This window comes from Homo sapiens, chromosome 11 (assembly GCF_000001405.40).
Source record: "Homo sapiens chromosome 11, GRCh38.p14 Primary Assembly".
In the NCBI taxonomy this organism is placed as follows: Eukaryota; Metazoa; Chordata; class Mammalia; order Primates; family Hominidae; genus Homo; species Homo sapiens.
In genome coordinates this window covers 8,248,477-8,265,744 of record NC_000011.10, presented here as the reverse complement: position 1 = coordinate 8,265,744, position 17,268 = coordinate 8,248,477, and the positions used below count along the sequence as shown (strand labels likewise).

Genomic DNA, 17,268 nt, shown 5'->3' with positions numbered 1-17,268 from the left:
TCTAGCCCCCAGCTCTGGTGGGTGTGAGGGGCTGGCACCAAATATGCCGGTGGCAGCGGTGCCAAAGCCTCCCTCAGACCCTGAGGGCATGGGTCTGGCGGCAGTGGCAGGGGAGAGATCAAGCTCGCAGTCCTGAGGCTGGTGAGTCTGAGCAAAATGATATATTTAACATCAAATATACTCAAGGACTATTAGGATTAAGTATTCAAGATGAAGGGGAAAGTGAAACCCTCTGAGCTGCAGATGAGGCATCTCATTAGAAGCAGCGCTTTTCTGTTTTCTCAAAGCCTGACTTCCCTGCCTAGCAGAGAGGAATATGGCTGCAGCCCGCTGCTCCCCATCCCTGTCAAGCACTGGGGCCTCCCAGGGCTTAAAGGGTAAGACCTAGCCTCCAGGTCTCCTTCAAACCAGATAATCTCCCCCCATCCCCCTGCATTGTCTGGAGTGCCACAGTTTACAAAGCACATTAACATGCATTAGCTCATCTGACCCCCACAGCAACCATAGATACAGGAAGAGTAGGTCTCCCACCTCACAGCCAAGGAAACTGAGGCCCAGATAGAGAAAGAGACTTGCTAAGGTCCACTGTTGGTAATTGGCAGAGATGAGATAGAATCCCAACTGGTGGCCCTTCAGCCCGTTTCTCTTTCCCTGGGTCTAGTCCTCAGAAGTGATTGCCAGGACCAAGCCTCCAACACATCTGTCTGGAGCCCTCCTTGGGCTGAAGAAAAATCATTATTTCTATCCCACCTTGGAACTCTGTACTGTCTAGGCAAAGAAAAAAGACTTGGGATTTAAAAGTAGGTGGCCTTCCGGCCAGGCGCAGCAGCTCACGCCTGTAATCCCATCACTGTGGGAGGCTGAGGTGGGTGGATCACGAGGTCAGGAGTTCGAGACCAGCCTGGCCAATATGGTAAAACCCCGTCTCTACTAAAAAATACAAAAATTAGCTGGGCGTGGTGGTGTGTGCCTGTAATCCCAGCTACTCGGAAGGCTGAGGCAGAAGATTCGCTGGAACCTGGGAGCCGGAGCTTGCAGTGAGCCGAGATCACACCACTGCACTCCAGCCTGGGCAACAGAGCAAGACTCCATCTTAAAAAAGAAAAAACAGAAAGAAAGAAAAAGGAATGAAAAGAAAAAAAGTAGGTGGGTAGGTGGCCTTCCTAGGGTAGGCAGCCAGAACATCAGCCCCAGGATTCTGGGGAGAAGCAGGGTCCAGGAGAAGAGATGGGCACTGTCTCTTTTCCTGCCTTATGAGTTACAGAGCAAGAATCGTCAACTCCATAATAGCAGCAGGAATCTTTGTTTTGTTCAGTGCTGTATCCCTAGTGCCTTAGAACTGTGCTTGGCACATAATACATGCTCAGTAAATATTTGTAGAATGAGAAAAGCTTTCAAGGCCATGCCTGTGCTTGCTTCGAGAGAAGTTGAGATAAGCTCTCCCGCTCCATGGAGTCAGGATGCTTTTGGGGGTGCTGCTGGGGTCAGGAGTAGTGCTGTAAGACTCGGTAGGATCGTTTGTGCCCTGAAGAGGGTTAACTTTGCCAAACAATCCGGGAAGCAACACGAAACCCCGGGCAGAACTGGTAGGAAGGAAAAGGATGTGATCAGAGAAATATTGCTCTGAAGAAGAGACAAAAATCAAGGCTGAGGGTCTGGGAGTGACAGATGGGATGCGTCCTCCAGACAATCATTGAAGACCACGACCCTGGGATCGGAGCAAAGACGCTCACCGAGCTAGGACCTAGAAGCCTCCAGGTGGCGCTGCGGAGCCGGACAGCCGTGCGTCTCCACTCCCCATTAACCCGGGAGGGTGGAGGCCTCAGGAAATGTGTGCATTTATGCAGTAGCAGGAGTGCAAACCTCATACATTGAGGGAGAAAGGCAGCGGGAGACGGCCACGAGATTCCCCCATCTCTTTGAATATAATTTTAGATTGAGATTCAGATTAAATCCGAGGGGAAAACACTTTATGAGGCTGAAAGCTGTGTCGTTGCCAGAGACAGGGTTATGAGCTATCAAATGCAATTACATTAAGACAGATTATACTGGGCAAATTGAGCCATTTAGAAGGTGAGAATCAAAGAAACGGCTCTGATCCTCTTTTCCCCCTTCTCTCTCCCTCTCCCTCTCTCTCTAAATTGCAGTTCGTAGTTCCTTCCAATTCTGAGGCACAAAAGTAGGTGAGACTGCTTTTGTATCTGCGAAGTGCTTCACTCCTGAATGTAATTCTAGCTGAGTGCAATCTAGGTTAAGAGCCGGACAAGCGGGTAATTAGAGCCCGCTAGCTGCCCGAAGACCGGCCGCCCCTCCAAAGCGCGCCCCGAGTCGGCGCCCTTCTCCCGGCCGAGCCTAGCTGCGGCTGGACACGGAGCGCCCGAGATGATGGTGCTGGACAAGGAGGACGGTAGGTGGCGGGCCGGGGTCTCGACGCCCCTCACCCCCTCGCCCCCTGCCGCGGCGCGCAGGCACACACACGCGGGGACACGGGCGCACACCTGCTGGGCTGTGCGGGGATTGCGGGGCGGGCGGCGCGCTGGGGGCCGGGGCTGGGGCGGGGGGAAGTACCGGGGGACAGCCGGGCGGAACTTGCGGGGGGAGGAGGTCGAGCCCCGGGCTGCACGCGCCCGGGGCCGCACGCCCCCCGGGTCCCGGCCGCGAGCCGAGGAGCTGTGCACTGGCCGTGTGCTGCGCCGCGGGGCCGCGCGGAGGCTGGGGCTCCCTTGCGATCTCCGCGCCGCGGAGGTTCGCTCTGAGCATTTCGTGTCTGAGGCTGCTGCTCTCACCGCAGCCATCACCCTCGCGCCAGCCGCCGCGTAACCCGAGAGGCGCTGAGCGCCGAGCAAATCAGCGGCTTCGGGGAGAATCGGGCTCCAGAGCTCGGGGCAAGCGGGAGCGCGGGAGGACGGCGCGAGCGCCAGGGTGCCCGGCAGGCGAGGGGAAGGCGGGTTGGACCCTCCGGGGGACATCTGCATGAGCGTGACTCGGTGAGAAAGAGAGCCGCCTCTTGTGCCGGCCCGCTAGCTCCCTGTCTCTCTGAGCGCGGAGGCGGGAGTTTGGCCCAGAGGAAGAAAGTGTCCCGCCGCCGGCCGGTAGCACTTGTGCGGGAGCGGCCTGCGAGAGTGGCACGGACCTTCCGTGGTCGAGCCTCAGTGCGCCCTAGAAAACTGCAGGGCACGGGAAAGGTCGGAACAGAGGAGCCCATGGCTGCTGGAAGCCACTAGCAGGTGGTCCCATAGACCCCAAAGCCTTACTGGCAGGGAGTGCCCTGCAGTTAAGTGTCCTAGAAGGCTGGGGATCCCAGCCCCCTTGGGGGGAAAGCCAAGTGGGTGCCCTAAGATGAGTCCCCAGGGTAAGGAGAGAGGCAGTACCTTGGCTGTCCCAGGACCTCCTGCCCTGTAGGTGAGGCCTGTGTGTTGGTGTTGCAGGGGCATTTGTATGTGACTGTTGGTGCCCACGCTGCCGCCGGCGTTCTGCCATTGGTGAGGTACCGAAAGGGTAGGTTTGCTTTGAGTCAGCGGGAATCCTCTTAAAGTGACTGTAGTGGCCATCCTCTGCCCTTCCGTTCAGGAGTCTCTGCTGGGCCTGAGCCCTCTGTCCCTGGGGCAGCGTTGTTATTGATGTGGCCAGTTGGTGAAAATGCAAAGCTAAGTGACTTGCTCAGGGTCACACAGGATGTTCGCATTGCCGCTGCCAGGTGCCGATGCCCCCAGGCTGCTACCGCCTTCTGAGACATCCAGCAGGGAGGGGGAATTTGAAGTATCTGGCCTGGGGGTGGCATCTAGGAGGACCTGTGGCTCTCAGTATGTGTGTAGGAAGAGAGAGGATGGGGGGAACCTCAGTGCTTCTGGGCTAGCTGGGGTGGGACATCATCTTCAATATGTCTTCTCTATTCACGGACCCCTTCCCTGGAGCCCCATGTAGGCCATCGGAGAACTTCATATAGAATGAAAAGGAGAAGAAGGGGTCTGGGGTTGGGCCAGACAGGGAGGGAAGAGACCTTGATTTGGTGCCTTTCATCACGAACTCCCCATGTTCACCTTCCCTCTTGGTAAAAATGAAGGGCTTGGAGAAGCCAGGGGAGAGGGTACTTCCTTGGTACCTGGAGATACTGTCACTATGGGGAGCATGCAAGGTTCATCTTTAGCAGAGGTTATTTGGCATACTTGGCTCCCCAGGCCCAAGCCAGGAATCCAGAAGACTCGGGCTCTGTACGTGAGAGGCCTCAGGCCAGGGAGATTGGTCTCATGCCAACAAGATGACACCCCCTACCTGCACCCAGGATCTTGCTCTGCCCAGGCACCACATGATGCCTCTGGCTCTGAGATAATACAAAGGGTTTCAGATGAGCCTTGAGTGAGAATGGATTTCTGGAGGTCATTTTAGCCAGCTCCCTGCCTCCAAATTGCAGTGTACCTCAAGCACCCTGGGCAGATGTTTCTTCTGGTTTCTGCTAGATCTGTGGAAGAGAGCTCCAGATGCCCCTCCATCCCCAGCCTGTCCAGCCTAAACAATATGGTGCCCACTACCATGGAGCTGCTGGGCTCTGGGGTCCATTACAGCACAAGCACATCCACTGGTGTCCTAAGCAGCCACCTATTCTTGTCCTACCCAGCCCATAGCTGTCTTTCAAAAGCGACGTTTCTGCTCATGCATCTGCACTCCACTCCCTATTAAGAGGAGTCTGGCCTCCCATAGTTCCAGGAAACCTTGAAGATGGCATCTTCAATTGGGGGAGGGAGAAAGGTTCTGGATGCACTCATCTGCTCCTCCAAACCAACCACCTATCTTCTTCTTGAACGCTTCTGCCCTCTCAGCAGGTGGCTATCTGAACTGGGTGGCAGCATTCCCCCACCCCCCGGCTCCCCCAAAGGGTGCGTTCCCTGCATACGGCACCTTTTGTCTGGCTGCAGCAGGGACTCAGGGCTGCTATTAACCACCCCCAACGCCTTTTCTCCACCTGACAGCATCTTGTCTGGAGAGGCTGGGGCTCCTCTGGTTGAAGTCGGGTCTGCCAGCTGCCGAGGACCAAAGCTCCCGCTCTGCTGGGCTGCAGGGCTTTCATGTTGCACTTCTGAAAGATAATAAAATATCAATCGTTTTGCCGTAGCAACGGGTTTAAGAGACTTTCTGAAGTATTGAATCGTCAGAAAAAAAAAATTTTTTTTTGCTTTTAAGCACAGTGCATTATTAATAAAGTAATCCATTAGGTCGAGCAGTGAAGGGTCACCACAGAGACGGAAAGATCTGTTTTGCAAACGGTTAAACTTCGGGTTTTAAGATTAATTGCTTTCATTTGGATGCTTGCTCTTGGCCTAGCCATCTCCACTTTACTGGAACTCAGGGTCCGGGCTTTCTACATGCTGCTGGGTCTGCCTGTCAGCGAAATGGAACTGAGCTCCAACTTTCCCGGAGAAACAGCCCTTCTTCCCCTGGCACCTGCGGCTTGGGCTGGCACCAGGTGGTGAGCTTTTTGGGAGGGTTAAAATCCCAAGGGAGCAAGGAGAGCTACAGCTCTGAATGCTACCCAAGTCAAATGAGCCCCTGGGCTGTTCGAGAAGAGGCCTTTGAGTAGGAGCAGACAGCAGAGAGTCTGAGAGGGCCCAAGAACAGTGAGAGCTTTGGTCTGTGGGGGACTGGGCAGGAGAGGAGGCTGGGGCATCCAGCTGGGGATGCTGGGATGCTCTCAGGTGCACACAGGAGAAGGGCAGGGCTGGGTATAAACGGCCTTTGCAAAGGCCCAGCAGGAAGGTGGGGGTGACCACAGGAAGCAGCAGGCGGGTTGTGGAACTAAACACCAGACATGATTCCTAGGGCATTTTTAATAAGTAAAAATGCCCAAGAGAGTGAAGCTGGACTGAGGAGGACCAGACAGCGGAGTCTTCAATTGTTAATGACTGCTAGGAGCACAAATTCCACAGCCGACTCAGTTAATCCACCAGAGCCGGCGCATGGCTATGCTTGGGTACCAACCAGCCCTTGCTGGGCCACCAGTAGGATTTCCTAGGATAGACACTCATGTTCTAGACCACAGAGAATCCCAGGGGCCTCTCCTGGCAGAGTGTGCTCATGACCGTCCCAACCCTGGAGAGGGAGGCAGGCCCTGATGCTGTTCCATGCCAGAGACCCCAGCCCATCAGCAGGAAGGCGGAGCCAAGTGGACACTGCTGCCTGCTGAGGCCTGGTAAAGGCCTTGTGAGTCTGGCAGGGTGGGGACCAAATTGTGCACTTGCCCAGTGCCTAGAAGCAGGGGAGCGGGAGGGTTACCATCTGCATCTACCATGACCAGCCCCAGCGGCAGCCCTCCTTTCTGCTGGGAATGAGGCATCACATCCTGAGCTGCACATACAGCCGCTTCCCCTTCCTGCCCAAACTTAGCCAGGCAGAGTGTCTGTAAAGATGGGTAACCCGCCCCCCAACCCCACACACACACCCGAGCCTTGGGTGAAGAAGCAGGTGCTTCTCTCTGTTCCCTGCTCTTCCATTCATTTGCTCACACAGAGCAGCACTAAGGGGGGACAGGGAAACAACATAAATTGGTCTGTCGTCCGGAATCCATGTCTCGCTAATGTACCCAGATTAACTCAACTGTAAATTGTCTCCTTGGATGGCGGTGTCTTGCTAAAAGTTTCCCATATGATTCATGATTTGGATTGCTTTTAACGGCTATTGGCTAAGCAAGCCAGTGACTGTACAAGGTGATGCAATTGGCATTAGCGAGGGGAGGCACGGGAGCGTGTAATGCAGTCAATACTGCATTAACTACTGATGCCCAATTACAGGGAGCAGGAGAGAGCCTTTCAGGAGCATTAGGACTGGGGGAAGCTGAGATCACTGGCCGCTGCTCGCCTAAAAGCTTCACCCTTTGGATGCCGGGGCTCAGTGCTGGCATGACCACTCACTTGGCCTCTGTGGCTGTGGGAACTGCCTTTTTCTCTTGCTGTCTGTTTCTGAACATGTCCTCAAAGATGCCTTTAGCACATGAAAATGTATGTTTCCCTAGAGCTGGGACCCGCTTCTCATCCCTCCCGAGTAATTGATTCCTTACCCCCACCCTGTGTCACCCTGTGTCTCAGAGTCAGACCAGGCAGCTGCCCCATAAGCTTCCATTTAAGGAACTTCACAGCAGGCTCTATTTGTGGGCAGGACCAAGAGGAGGTCTATTTTGGTCTCTCAACCTTGGAACAGATGGATGATTGCCAGTGAGCACTGGCAGTTGACTCCCTGTGGTCATGGGCAAAGGAAACACGAGGTTCAGCCATGGCCCAGGGCGAAGCTGCCAGAGTTGGGAAGTGGCCATGGCTAGACGGGCTGGGCTGTCTGAGCAGAAGACAGAGCCGTGATGGTGCAGCTAGGGAAGGCTGGGGGTGAGTGCCTTGAGCCACGTTGGGGTCTAGAGCAGATGCAGGCCCAGGGAGTTAGGAGCTCCCTCCAGAGCTGTGCCCCCATATAGCAGGGAGGCCAAGGCTGTTGTTGGATCCATCTCCAGGGTCCAGAGGGCCTCCCAGAAAGCCCTGATCAGGGACATTGAGAAGATTGGAAGATGTTAGGGCAGAAGGTAGAGGTGTCCCAGTGTGCCAGGCACTGTTTGACTTGTTGCCACCTCTATCATTGCACTAAGCTATGTAGGTCCAATATGTCCACTGTGATTTTGTGTTCCATGTCCACCCAGTGTAGAGGTTGCTTTGCTTCCAAACCTTTGCCTCTCTACCTTCTCGTCTCTACAGTGAGAACAGCCATATCTAATTGGCAGGATTGTATTCAGGATTAAGTGAGGTACTGTCCATGTACACATTTGATAAGCCAGAAAGCCTCATGGCTGTGTGGAGCAACATTGCTCCATGCTCAGTTACAGTATGATCTGAAATAACTCTGTGTCCAGTCCAGTGCTTTGTTTGCTGGCAAGCACTGGGCCTGCACCCTCACTCTGCCAGTTTATTTATCATGGTCCTTAATCATTGCTGCCTGGGAGGCAGGCTGACCTCACTACTCGCCCACGTCCAGATCACCAAGACAGGTGGCACCTTGGGAAGAGGTCTCTAGGACCACTCTTTGCAAGTTCCTCCATTTATAGGGGGAAGGTTGAGGTTTAAACAGGGCAAAAGGGCTGCCTAGGGTTCCATGGGGAATTGGAGCCTAGAGCATCAGCATCTTTTTGCCATGCCTTCTGCCCTAGCCCTGAGGCGTGATGAGGCTAGGTGGTAGAAAACTCTGATTACAGCAAACATCAGCTGGACTGGGACCACGGACCACGTGCTTGGGTGTCCCAGTTATGCCCCTTGCCAGCCTACTGACAGCCCAGAAGATGCAGTTCTATCCTCAGATGTAAGGTGAAAGGTGCTGAGGGACACTCACCTGTCCTGGGCCTTTGGAAGTGGAGAAGCCCCAGAGGTTCCTATGGCATGTGTCCCATCTTGCTTGCCTGTCCTGTCTGGAGTTGGAGGACACTGAGACATGCAAGGTGTCCTCCCATTTCCAGGCTTAGCTCTTTGTGGTGCTGCTAGAGTGAGTTTTCCCAGCAGGCCCATATTTGGGATTGGACTACACCAGTGGAGTCAACTTGTCCTGGCTTGCAAGAGATTCTGTACATCTGTTCCCAACTCTGAGTTCAGAGACACTGCATTGGTAGCTTGAAGTCAGCCACAATGGGAGTATTTGTACCATGGATGTTGGCAAACACTACAAATCAGGGCATTTTCCCAAAGACTTGGTCGTTAAGCATGCATCAGCACACCACTGGATTGCATTCATCTGGGACTCTGGACCTACCCTTTTCTCCTCTGCTACCACCATTCTCATCTCACCTGCTATCTTTCTTGTGGTGCTCATTACAACCAGTCTGACCCAACCTCTGCTACCCTGGCATCCTGCCTGAGGCCTACTGCTGCTTTGACCATCACACTAAACTATGCAGGTTTAGTATGTCTGCTCTGGTTTTGGGTTCCATGAAGACTCAGCATTTGCCTCTATTCCCTTGTTCCTATGTCCTCCTTGCCTGGCATGCCCTTTCTCCTTTAGTTGGCTGAGGCTTCTCCCAGGCCATTCCAGGCCATGCTCAGAGACACATCCACCAAACCTAGCAACAAGCTTGTTCGCTACTGGTGGGAGTGTGTTCGTTTTGTGTTCTGTCCAAGGCAGGAGTTCACAGTAGCTGATACAACTGGGGGCAAATTAAAAGCAGGTGGTGTGAGAGGAGTGAGCAGATTGGTCCAGGTCGCAGAGGCAGCTGCCCAGTGTGAAGGCCCATGGGCTCAGGTCACTAGCTCCTCCCTCCTGTCCCTTCCCCTGGAGGTCAACTGGGCTTTCTTGAGTGGCCTCCTGTCTACAGGTGTAGTCCGCTAGCATGATTCAGAAAACCTGGGTTTTGTCCCAGCTGACTGCTGTGTGACTTCAGCGCACTGGGCCTCAGTTTTCTCATCCCTACAAAGGGTGAAACACCTAACTGGCACTTTATGTCCAAGCACACACTTGATAAACCAGAAAGTTTCATGCTTGTATGAATTGACATTGCTCTCTGTACAGTTACAGTATCATCTTTTGGCTTTGGCCTCTCAGTCTTTAGGAGTCATAAAACACTATAGCTATCATTATACTGAACCCGTACTTAAAAGTGCAGCATTGGCCGGGCGCGGTGGCTCACGCCTATAATCCCAGCACTTTGGGAGGCCGAGGCGGGAGGATCACGAGGTCAGGAGATTGAGACCATCCTGGCTAACACGGTGAAACCCCGTCTCTACCAAAAATACAAAAAATTAGCCGGGCGTGGTGGCGGGCGCCTGTAGTCCCAGCTACTCAGGAGGCTGAGGCAGGAGAATGGCGTGAACCCAGGAGGTGGAGCTTGCAGTGAGCCGAGATCCCGCCACTGCACTCCAGCCTGGGCGACAGAGCGAGACTCCGTCTCAAAAAAAAAAAAAAAAAAAAAAAAAGTGCGGCATTGTGCTATCTGTATGTATCAATTAGTTATTGCTGTGTAATCAGTTACCCTAAAATGTAGAGCCTTAACACAATAAGCATTTATTTAACTCAAAAATCTGTGGGTCAGTGATTTAAGCAGGGCTTGGCTGAGCAGTTTTTCTGGTCTCAGCTGGGCTCACTCACATCTGGAGGATGGAGGATGGCTGATCAGTTGGATGCTGGGCGTGACAAGACTGCATGGCCCTCATTAGCCAGAAGGCTTGTCCGACTTGTTCTTATGGCAGAGACCGGTCCGGAAGGTGTGGAAGCACAAAAGCCTTCTCTTTTTTGAGACATCTCACTCTGTTGCCCAGGCTGGAGTGCAGTGGCACAATCACAGCTTCCTGCAGCCTTGACCTCTTGGGCTCAAGTGATCCTCCCTCTTCAGTCTCCCAAGCTGAGACTATAGGTCCATATCACCATGCCTAGCTAATTTTCGTATTTTTTGTAGAGATGAGATTTCATTACGTTGCCCAGACTGGTCTTGAACTCCTGGGGTCAAGCGATCCACCTGCCTCAGCCTCCCAAAGTGCTGGGATTACAAGCTTGTGCCACTGCGCACCACCACACCCAGCCTACACAAGGCTTCTTGAGGCCAAGGTTTGGCACTGGGATCTTGTCGCTTCTGCTGCATTCTATCGGCCAAAATAAATCACAAGGCCAGCCCAAGTTCAAAGGGTGGAGAAGCAGATTCTGCTCTTGAAGGTAGGAGGTGAAAAGTCATATAACAAATGGTGTGGCTGTGGGGAAGGGTAGAGAATTGGGGCCATTTTTGTAATCAGTCCACCAAGCATCTTCCATGTATAATCTCATTTAATACCCATAAGAACCTTAGGAAGAAGCTACTATTACCCTCATTTTACAGATGAGAAAATTATTGTACAAAGAGATTGAGTAATTGGTTCCAGCTCCCACAGCTCAAGAATGCCAGGGCTGGGCTGTGAACCCAAGCAGGCTGACTGCAGAGTCAGTGCGCTCACTCTCTCTGCTCTGTCTGCTCCCTTTTCCAGCTGTCAGACGTGGGGATGGAGAGAAAGACACTCAGAGTTCAAGGAAGGGTGACGAACCTGTGAGAAGATGACTTGGGGAGGGAGGAAGGTTGCTGTGGGCAGTTTGAGTGGGGCTGCCATGGGAGCCCAGCTCCATTCCTCCCAGGGCCAGCCTCGGTGGGGAGGGACCATAATCAGGTCAGTCCCCGTTGCCTCTTTCAGGTTTTCCTCTCTGTCCTGCAAAGCCACTAGACGGCTTGAAAGGATGTGATGTTCTGTGTTCCCTGAGCTGACTTAGACCTGAGCATATATGCAGATGCAGCCAGGTGAGAATCAATTCATTGGTTGGCCCCTAGCCTCAAAATGGGGTGGTAAGTGGGCTGGTGAGAGGCCTGTGTACATTCATAAACCAGCTGATTGAAAAGCAATATTTCAGATAAATACAAGCCAGCGATCTATCAGTGGTTGTAATAAAACCCAGGCTTCAGGCTGTGATTTTATTTTGAAATAATAAGAATTGCTTGATTCTTTTTACTTGAGTTACCATGGTAATTCCGGCGTGGAGCAGTGTTATATTGATTTAGAAAGTGGACAGTAATATTTCTTTTGTGTTATTCTGTTTCTAGGCCTTGATTTCTAATTTCCACTTGGAGATTACTTTTATAAATTTCTTAAGTCCTTCCACTTTTTTTTCCTCTCACAGTATAATTTTCCTCTCATACGCCGCTATGTTCTGAGCTTATTGGTTTGCTCTTATTTTAAATTAAACTTGCTGGTTTCAAATATTGAAATGACATCTTTGTCTGTGTCTGTACTTTGGTTTAGCAAAATATTACAGTCTGACGCATTCTGCTTAATAATTTAGGGGAGGCATTCTGTCGGCCCTCACTGGGTGCTGATAACTTATGACTCAACCAACGCAGGCCTTAAACTCCTGACATTTTAATATTGTGTGGCGGGAGTGGCTGCCCCTCTTCTCTGAGTCTCGGCGGGGAAAAATTCGTGGGGTACCCCAGAAAGGAGTTTTAATAATTCAACTTTGCTGGTTGGCACGGTGACTTGATAGAGAGCAGGAGGGAGACCCACTCTTGCCAGACAAGTGGGAGCAGTGCTGGCCTGGGCTCCTACAGTCCTGCTCCATCCTGCGTGTCCTCTCCCCTCGATCTTTAAAAACCCCAATCCTGACGACAGTATCCAGGAAGGACTGTGTGGGGCTACCTGCGGGTGCCATCAGAATGTTCAAACTCTCTGATTCTCAGTTTTCCTATTTGTAAAACAAATAGGAAGTGGGCTTTGAGTCACACGGGTTCAAATCCTGCCTCTGCTGCTAAGTCATTCTGATGAGTAAATTCTAATAATAATTCCAAGTAGTAAAATGGGTATGATCACGTTTACCTTTTAGGTCTGTTGAAACTTGAACAGGCAAAGCTTCTGAGAGTCTTGTAGATGACTGGTGCCATTTCTCTGTCCTCCCTGGGGTACTGGTGAGAGCAGGGGAGACAGGGGAAGTGGATGTGCTTTGGAAAGCTTGCCCTGCTCCAGACAGGCCTGGAGTTCCCAGCTTTGGGAGGATTGCTCTTTGGAAAGGATCCACGGCTGTGGCTCCTTGAGGACGTGAGGCAGCTTCTCCCACTTTCCTCGTCTGCCCAGCTGAGGGCAGGGGGCCTGGGTAGGGCAGTTGGAGACAGGGCTCTGTCCTCTGGGCTCCTCTCCTCGAAACACTCCACATCAAGGCCTGTGCTCTAGGAGGAAGTTCACAACAACACGGGTTGTCAGGCAGAGAGCTGTCTGCAGGGCCCCCTCTCAATGGCCTGAGGAGAGGACCCTTCTCTGCAGAGTATATATGCCACTGTGGCAGTGTATTAATTATCTACAGCTGCGTAACACATTCCAACACACATTCCAAAATTAGCAGCTAGAAACAATACCTACTTATTCTCTCGTTGCTGTGGACCAGTAATCTTTACTTGGTTCTCTGCTCCGGGATTTCTCTCAGACTGTGATCAAGGTGTGTCACCTGGGGCTGTGGGTTCATCTCAAGATTCATGTGGGGTTGTTTCAAGCTCAGTCATTTGGTGGCTGGCAGAATGCGGTTCCTCACGGGCTGCTGGACTGAGGGCCTCCACGCCTTGCTGGCCATGGTGGCCATGCCGTATGGGCCTCTCCAACGTGGCTGCCTGCTTCCTGAAAGCCATTGAAAGACAGTGTCTGCTTACAAGAAGGAAGTCTGTCTATGAATCACAGATGTGACATTCCATCACCTTTGCTGTGTTTCCTTCCTTGGGAGCAAGCCACTAGGTCCAGCCCACACTCAAGGAAGTGGGGCAGATGATACAAGGGTGTGAGTGCCAGGAGGCAGGATCACTGGGGACCATCTTAGAAGGTGGCCTGCCATGAGAGGCCAGCCTCTGGAATAGCAGCTGCCTCCAGAGAGAATGCCTCACCAGCTCCATTCCCAGGAGGACTCCTGGGTCACCTCATGCCAGGGAAGGGCACAGATGTCTCGGAGTCTTTCATTTCATCTTCACAACACCCTTGGGAGGCTAAGAGGACAAATACTAGCCCCATTTTGCAGAGGACTAGGTTGTGTCCAGAGAGGAAAAGACACTTGGCTGGGATACCCCAGCAAGTTGGCATGTTGAAGAGTTTAGGCGAGAAACAGGCCCCGCCTGCCATGAGCCTGGGGAGGTGGCGGTAAAGACACTCACAGGCCCTCCTTGGCTGTAGCTGTGGGAGGGATGGTGCTGAATATGTGTGGACACACACACATGCTCACACACACACTCACACACATTCACACACACACACGCACACCCCCACACACGCACACCCCCACACACAAACACACACTCCCACATACATTCACACACATTACACACCCACCACACACCCACCACACACTCCCATACACACCTATACACACACACACTCACACACATTCACACACACACGCACACCCACCACACAGGCAGACACATGCACTCTCACACACACTCACACACGCACTCCACACCCCTCCACCCCTCCACACACACCACACACACATACCACACCCCTATACCCCCCCCATACACACCACACGCACACCTACCTGCACAGGCAGACACATGCACTCTCTCTCTCTCACACACAAACACACACCCCTGGACCAGCGCCGGGGGCTGCTGGATTTTTTTCTCACAGATGGTCAGTTTTCCAAGGCTGGGAGGGCCCTACAAAGCCACCCCAGTGGGGTCTCTCACCCCAGGGCCTCTCTTCTCAGTCCGCAGGGATGATACCCGCAGAGGAGGTGAGGGTGGTTCCTTCCTGAGCCAGCCTCCCCGCTGCTGTTGGATTGAGGGCCCCGCTTCTTTCCTGGCTGTTACGGGGCGGTGGAGGCGGCATTTTTGAGGCAGGCTGGGTAAAGGTAGTGTCGGCAGTTCCTCACGTGGGAGCAGGGTGGAGGAGGCTCTCCTGTGGGCTGGAGCACTCCCATAAACAGGCTGGTGAGCACGGGGCTGGGAGCCAGAACTGCTGCATCCACATCCCAGCTCTGCCACCACCTCACAGTGTGTCCTTAGGCTGGTCCCTTCCCCTTTCTGGGTCTTGGTTTCCCCATTTGCATTCCCAGGGTGGCTGCTGGCTTCATACCTTGTGGTGCCATATATGGAGACATGACTGTTGGGGAATGGGTGTGGCAGGGCCAGGCCAGCAGAAAGGAACTCCCAGTGAGGTCTCTTTCTCTTTCACTGGACTTCTGGGGTTGGGACACACAGTTTCCCAGGTGAGAGCATCTGTTGCCCTTAGCCCTCCACACTTGGTCTTGTCACACTCGAATCCAGGTGGAAGGCCCTGTCCCCTGCTGTTTCCAGGTAGAGTCTCAATTAGGAGGTAGAGGGGACCCCTGGAGCAGGTTCAAAGCCTGGAGGCCAGTGAGTGGAAGTCATAGCCTAGGGCTGAGAGTACCCCAATTACATCCTTTTATGGCTGGGGAAACTAAGGCACTGAGAAGCGTCTGCTTCCTTTCTCAGCTGAGTGTTTCTGAAATACTTTCTGAGTAGAAATGTCTGTGCCCAGCAGAGGCTGCATCCGACTGGCATGGGGCCTCGGGCTGCACCCCAGCTCTTTGCCTGTCAGTCAGAGGCTGTCTCTTCCAGGCAGCTGCTCTCCCCCGAGCCAGAAGCTGTTTCCCATCTGTGAGGCATCTTCTTGGCAGGGGCCAGGGCTCCAGGGAGCAGTGGGCAGTGGGCAGGGCTCCCTCAGGCACCTGGTTCCAAGCTGGTACTCCACCCAAATGCAGAGTTCAATGCTTTGACCTGCCTTTGTGCCCTGAGGATGTTTTCATGCTATTCTTTGATCCTCGGAGTGTTTATCAGATCACTGCTAAAATATGCCTTCTACATGAGCATAAGATCTCATTAGTATTATTGAGATATTATTCTCAAAAAAAAGATCCAGGAAGAAATTAAAATTGGTTGAAATAATTAACACAAAGTAAAACTGGCGACAACTAAGACTGCACCTGGTAAAGTATGTTATTGACTAAAAATTGACAGAAGAATCAAATCTTCCTGACAAAGTTTAGATCTGCAGAAGTTGGCTCAGGAAACATTTTCTGGTAGAAATAATTGCCAGAAAAGAAATCCTGACAGTGGCAAAAACTCTAATTTGTGAGATCTACAGTGAGCCAAAAGCTGATCGTAAGCCAATAGTCACCTTCAACAATTTAAAAATAATTGATCCCGATGAAAATAATCTCCACAAAAATAAAAAAAAAATGGGGAAAGGTGAAGAAATGGTTTAACATGAATGAATAGAAAAGTGATCAAGGAATTAAATTGACTTAATGAAGCTCATTAAGAGTTACTTTCTTGATGAAAAATCCTCAGTTTTGGTATAATTTTTATCAAAATGTAGATGTTAAGGGCTAGCCCCTGCTGGTAGATGCTTAGTAAATATTTGTTGAGCGGATAATGAATGAATGAGTTTACAGGTGAAGGAGGTCAGGAGAGGATTGGAGAGAATCATAAGGATTCCTTTGTCTCAGAGAGAGGACAAGGAACCCCAAGTTCAAGACTGCAGAGGCCATTGTGACTGGAGCTTGGGGCATCATCAGTGAGGCTGCAGGGTGGTCAGGGTTGGCAGCGCTACATTGTGCAGAGCCTTGCAGGCCGTGGGTAGGAGTTCCAGTTTCTCCACATCCTTGGGGCACATGTGCAGGTTTGTTACATGTTACATGGGCATACTGCATGATGCTGAGGTTCGGGGTATGACAGATCCTATCACGCATCAGTGTCTGTTGTTCCCATCTTTATGTCCATGTGTACAACGAGACACCTTTGAATGGCTTTAGGTAGAAGCAAGACTCATGCTCAAATTTACATTTTATTAAGACCATTTGGTTTACTCTGTGGAGAGCAAATGGGAGGGGATAAAACTAGAGGCAGAGAAAGCAGCATATGATGGGGAGGGAGGGGTTCTTTTTCAGCTTTATAGATGGACCTCTCCTCATCCCTCTGGCTTCAGACGGCCCCACACTCCTGTCTGCCTCCCTTCAGTTTCGTCCAGAGCTCGCAGTCTGGGTCTGTGCAGGGTGAGGCAGGTGAGGGTCTGGGTTGGTCAGAGGAGGCAGTTGAGGTCTAGGAGAGAAACTGTGCTGAAGCTGTGGCCTTGGGAATGGGAGCTCATCTGAGGTCTACTGGTGGTCAAGATCCTGGCTGGAGCTGCTCAGCTCCCCGTAGCAGGGCTTGAACTTGTGGCCAGAGCTGGAGTTGAGCTCCAGGGAAGGTAGACCAGAGCCCCTGGCTGCAAGCCTGTCCTTGCCCAGCTTTGTCCCTGAGGCCCTTGCTTGCCCAGCCCAGCTTTGGCCTGAAGGCTTCCCTGACCCTTCACTTCCCCCTCTGCTGCTGTCAAGACTGGACCACAATCCTGGCTTTCTAGGCTCTGAGGGAGGGAGCCAAAGACTGTGGGCCTGAGGCAGGTAGGAGGACAGTAGGACTGGGAGGCAGCAAGTCTAGACCTATCCAGCCACCCATGGATCAGTCCCTGACTCCTCTGACCTCCTCTGATCTGTCTGTAAAGTGTTTCTTGGCCCTCCCACTCTGGGCCAGTGTTCTTTCTCCCGAATGGCTTTCATGAAAGCTGCTGATTCTGGGAAAGAGGCGTGGCTCACGGTCTCCCTACCCTTACCTATTTCTACTCCAGTCCACCCCCAGTTATATTCAACTAAGATCAGTCCAGAGAAGAGCAGAACTTGTCTGAGGCTGCAGAGCACCTCTGTGGAGTCTGGGAACTATGCCTAAGGTCTTGCCTCTGCAATGAGCTGTCCCTCAGGGGAGAGGTCTGT

General features: G+C 52.4%; 1 protein-coding gene across 4 annotated transcripts in view, besides 5 other annotated features; it reads left to right on the top strand.

The window, feature by feature from the left end:
- Positions 1 to 17,268, top strand: part of LMO1 (LIM domain only 1) — a 44,479-nt gene that overhangs the window by 3,043 nt on the left and 24,168 nt on the right. For 2 of the 4 annotated variants that reach the window (NR_073006.2, NM_002315.3), the window contains exon 1: positions 1,867 to 2,407. The exons of 1 other annotated variant lie outside the window; for it this stretch is intronic. Coding sequence is in view for 1 of the 3 variants with exons in the window: in NM_002315.3 (NP_002306.1) it covers positions 2,383 to 2,407 (25 nt within the window). In the remaining 2 variants the exon portion in view is untranslated. Of the gene's footprint in view, positions 1 to 1,866; positions 2,408 to 2,894; positions 2,988 to 17,268 lie in introns of those variants that run through there. One more of the 4 variants, XM_011520099.3, reaches the window with a different exon arrangement.
- Positions 2,656 to 2,745: a silencer, noted in NCBI's record as "silent region_3113". NCBI's record gives its function as "represses an Ori minimal core promoter by ATAC-STARR-seq in GM12878 lymphoblastoid cells {active_cell/tissue: GM12878}" and the evidence as "EXISTENCE:reporter gene assay evidence [ECO:0000049][PMID:35858748]".
- Positions 3,442 to 3,981: an enhancer, noted in NCBI's record as "H3K4me1 hESC enhancer chr11:8283311-8283850 (GRCh37/hg19 assembly coordinates)". NCBI's record gives its function as "activates a minimal SCP1, AML or CMV promoter by ChIP-STARR-seq in naive H9 embryonic stem cells {active_cell/tissue: H9 hESC(naive)}" and the evidence as "EXISTENCE:reporter gene assay evidence [ECO:0000049][PMID:30033119]".
- Positions 4,912 to 5,413: an enhancer, noted in NCBI's record as "H3K4me1 hESC enhancer chr11:8281879-8282380 (GRCh37/hg19 assembly coordinates)". NCBI's record gives its function as "activates a minimal SCP1, AML or CMV promoter by ChIP-STARR-seq in primed H9 embryonic stem cells {active_cell/tissue: H9 hESC(primed)}" and the evidence as "EXISTENCE:reporter gene assay evidence [ECO:0000049][PMID:30033119]".
- Positions 14,110 to 14,853: an enhancer, noted in NCBI's record as "H3K4me1 hESC enhancer chr11:8272439-8273182 (GRCh37/hg19 assembly coordinates)". NCBI's record gives its function as "activates a minimal SCP1, AML or CMV promoter by ChIP-STARR-seq in naive H9 embryonic stem cells {active_cell/tissue: H9 hESC(naive)}" and the evidence as "EXISTENCE:reporter gene assay evidence [ECO:0000049][PMID:30033119]".
- Positions 14,854 to 15,599: an enhancer, noted in NCBI's record as "H3K4me1 hESC enhancer chr11:8271693-8272438 (GRCh37/hg19 assembly coordinates)". NCBI's record gives its function as "activates a minimal SCP1, AML or CMV promoter by ChIP-STARR-seq in naive H9 embryonic stem cells {active_cell/tissue: H9 hESC(naive)}" and the evidence as "EXISTENCE:reporter gene assay evidence [ECO:0000049][PMID:30033119]".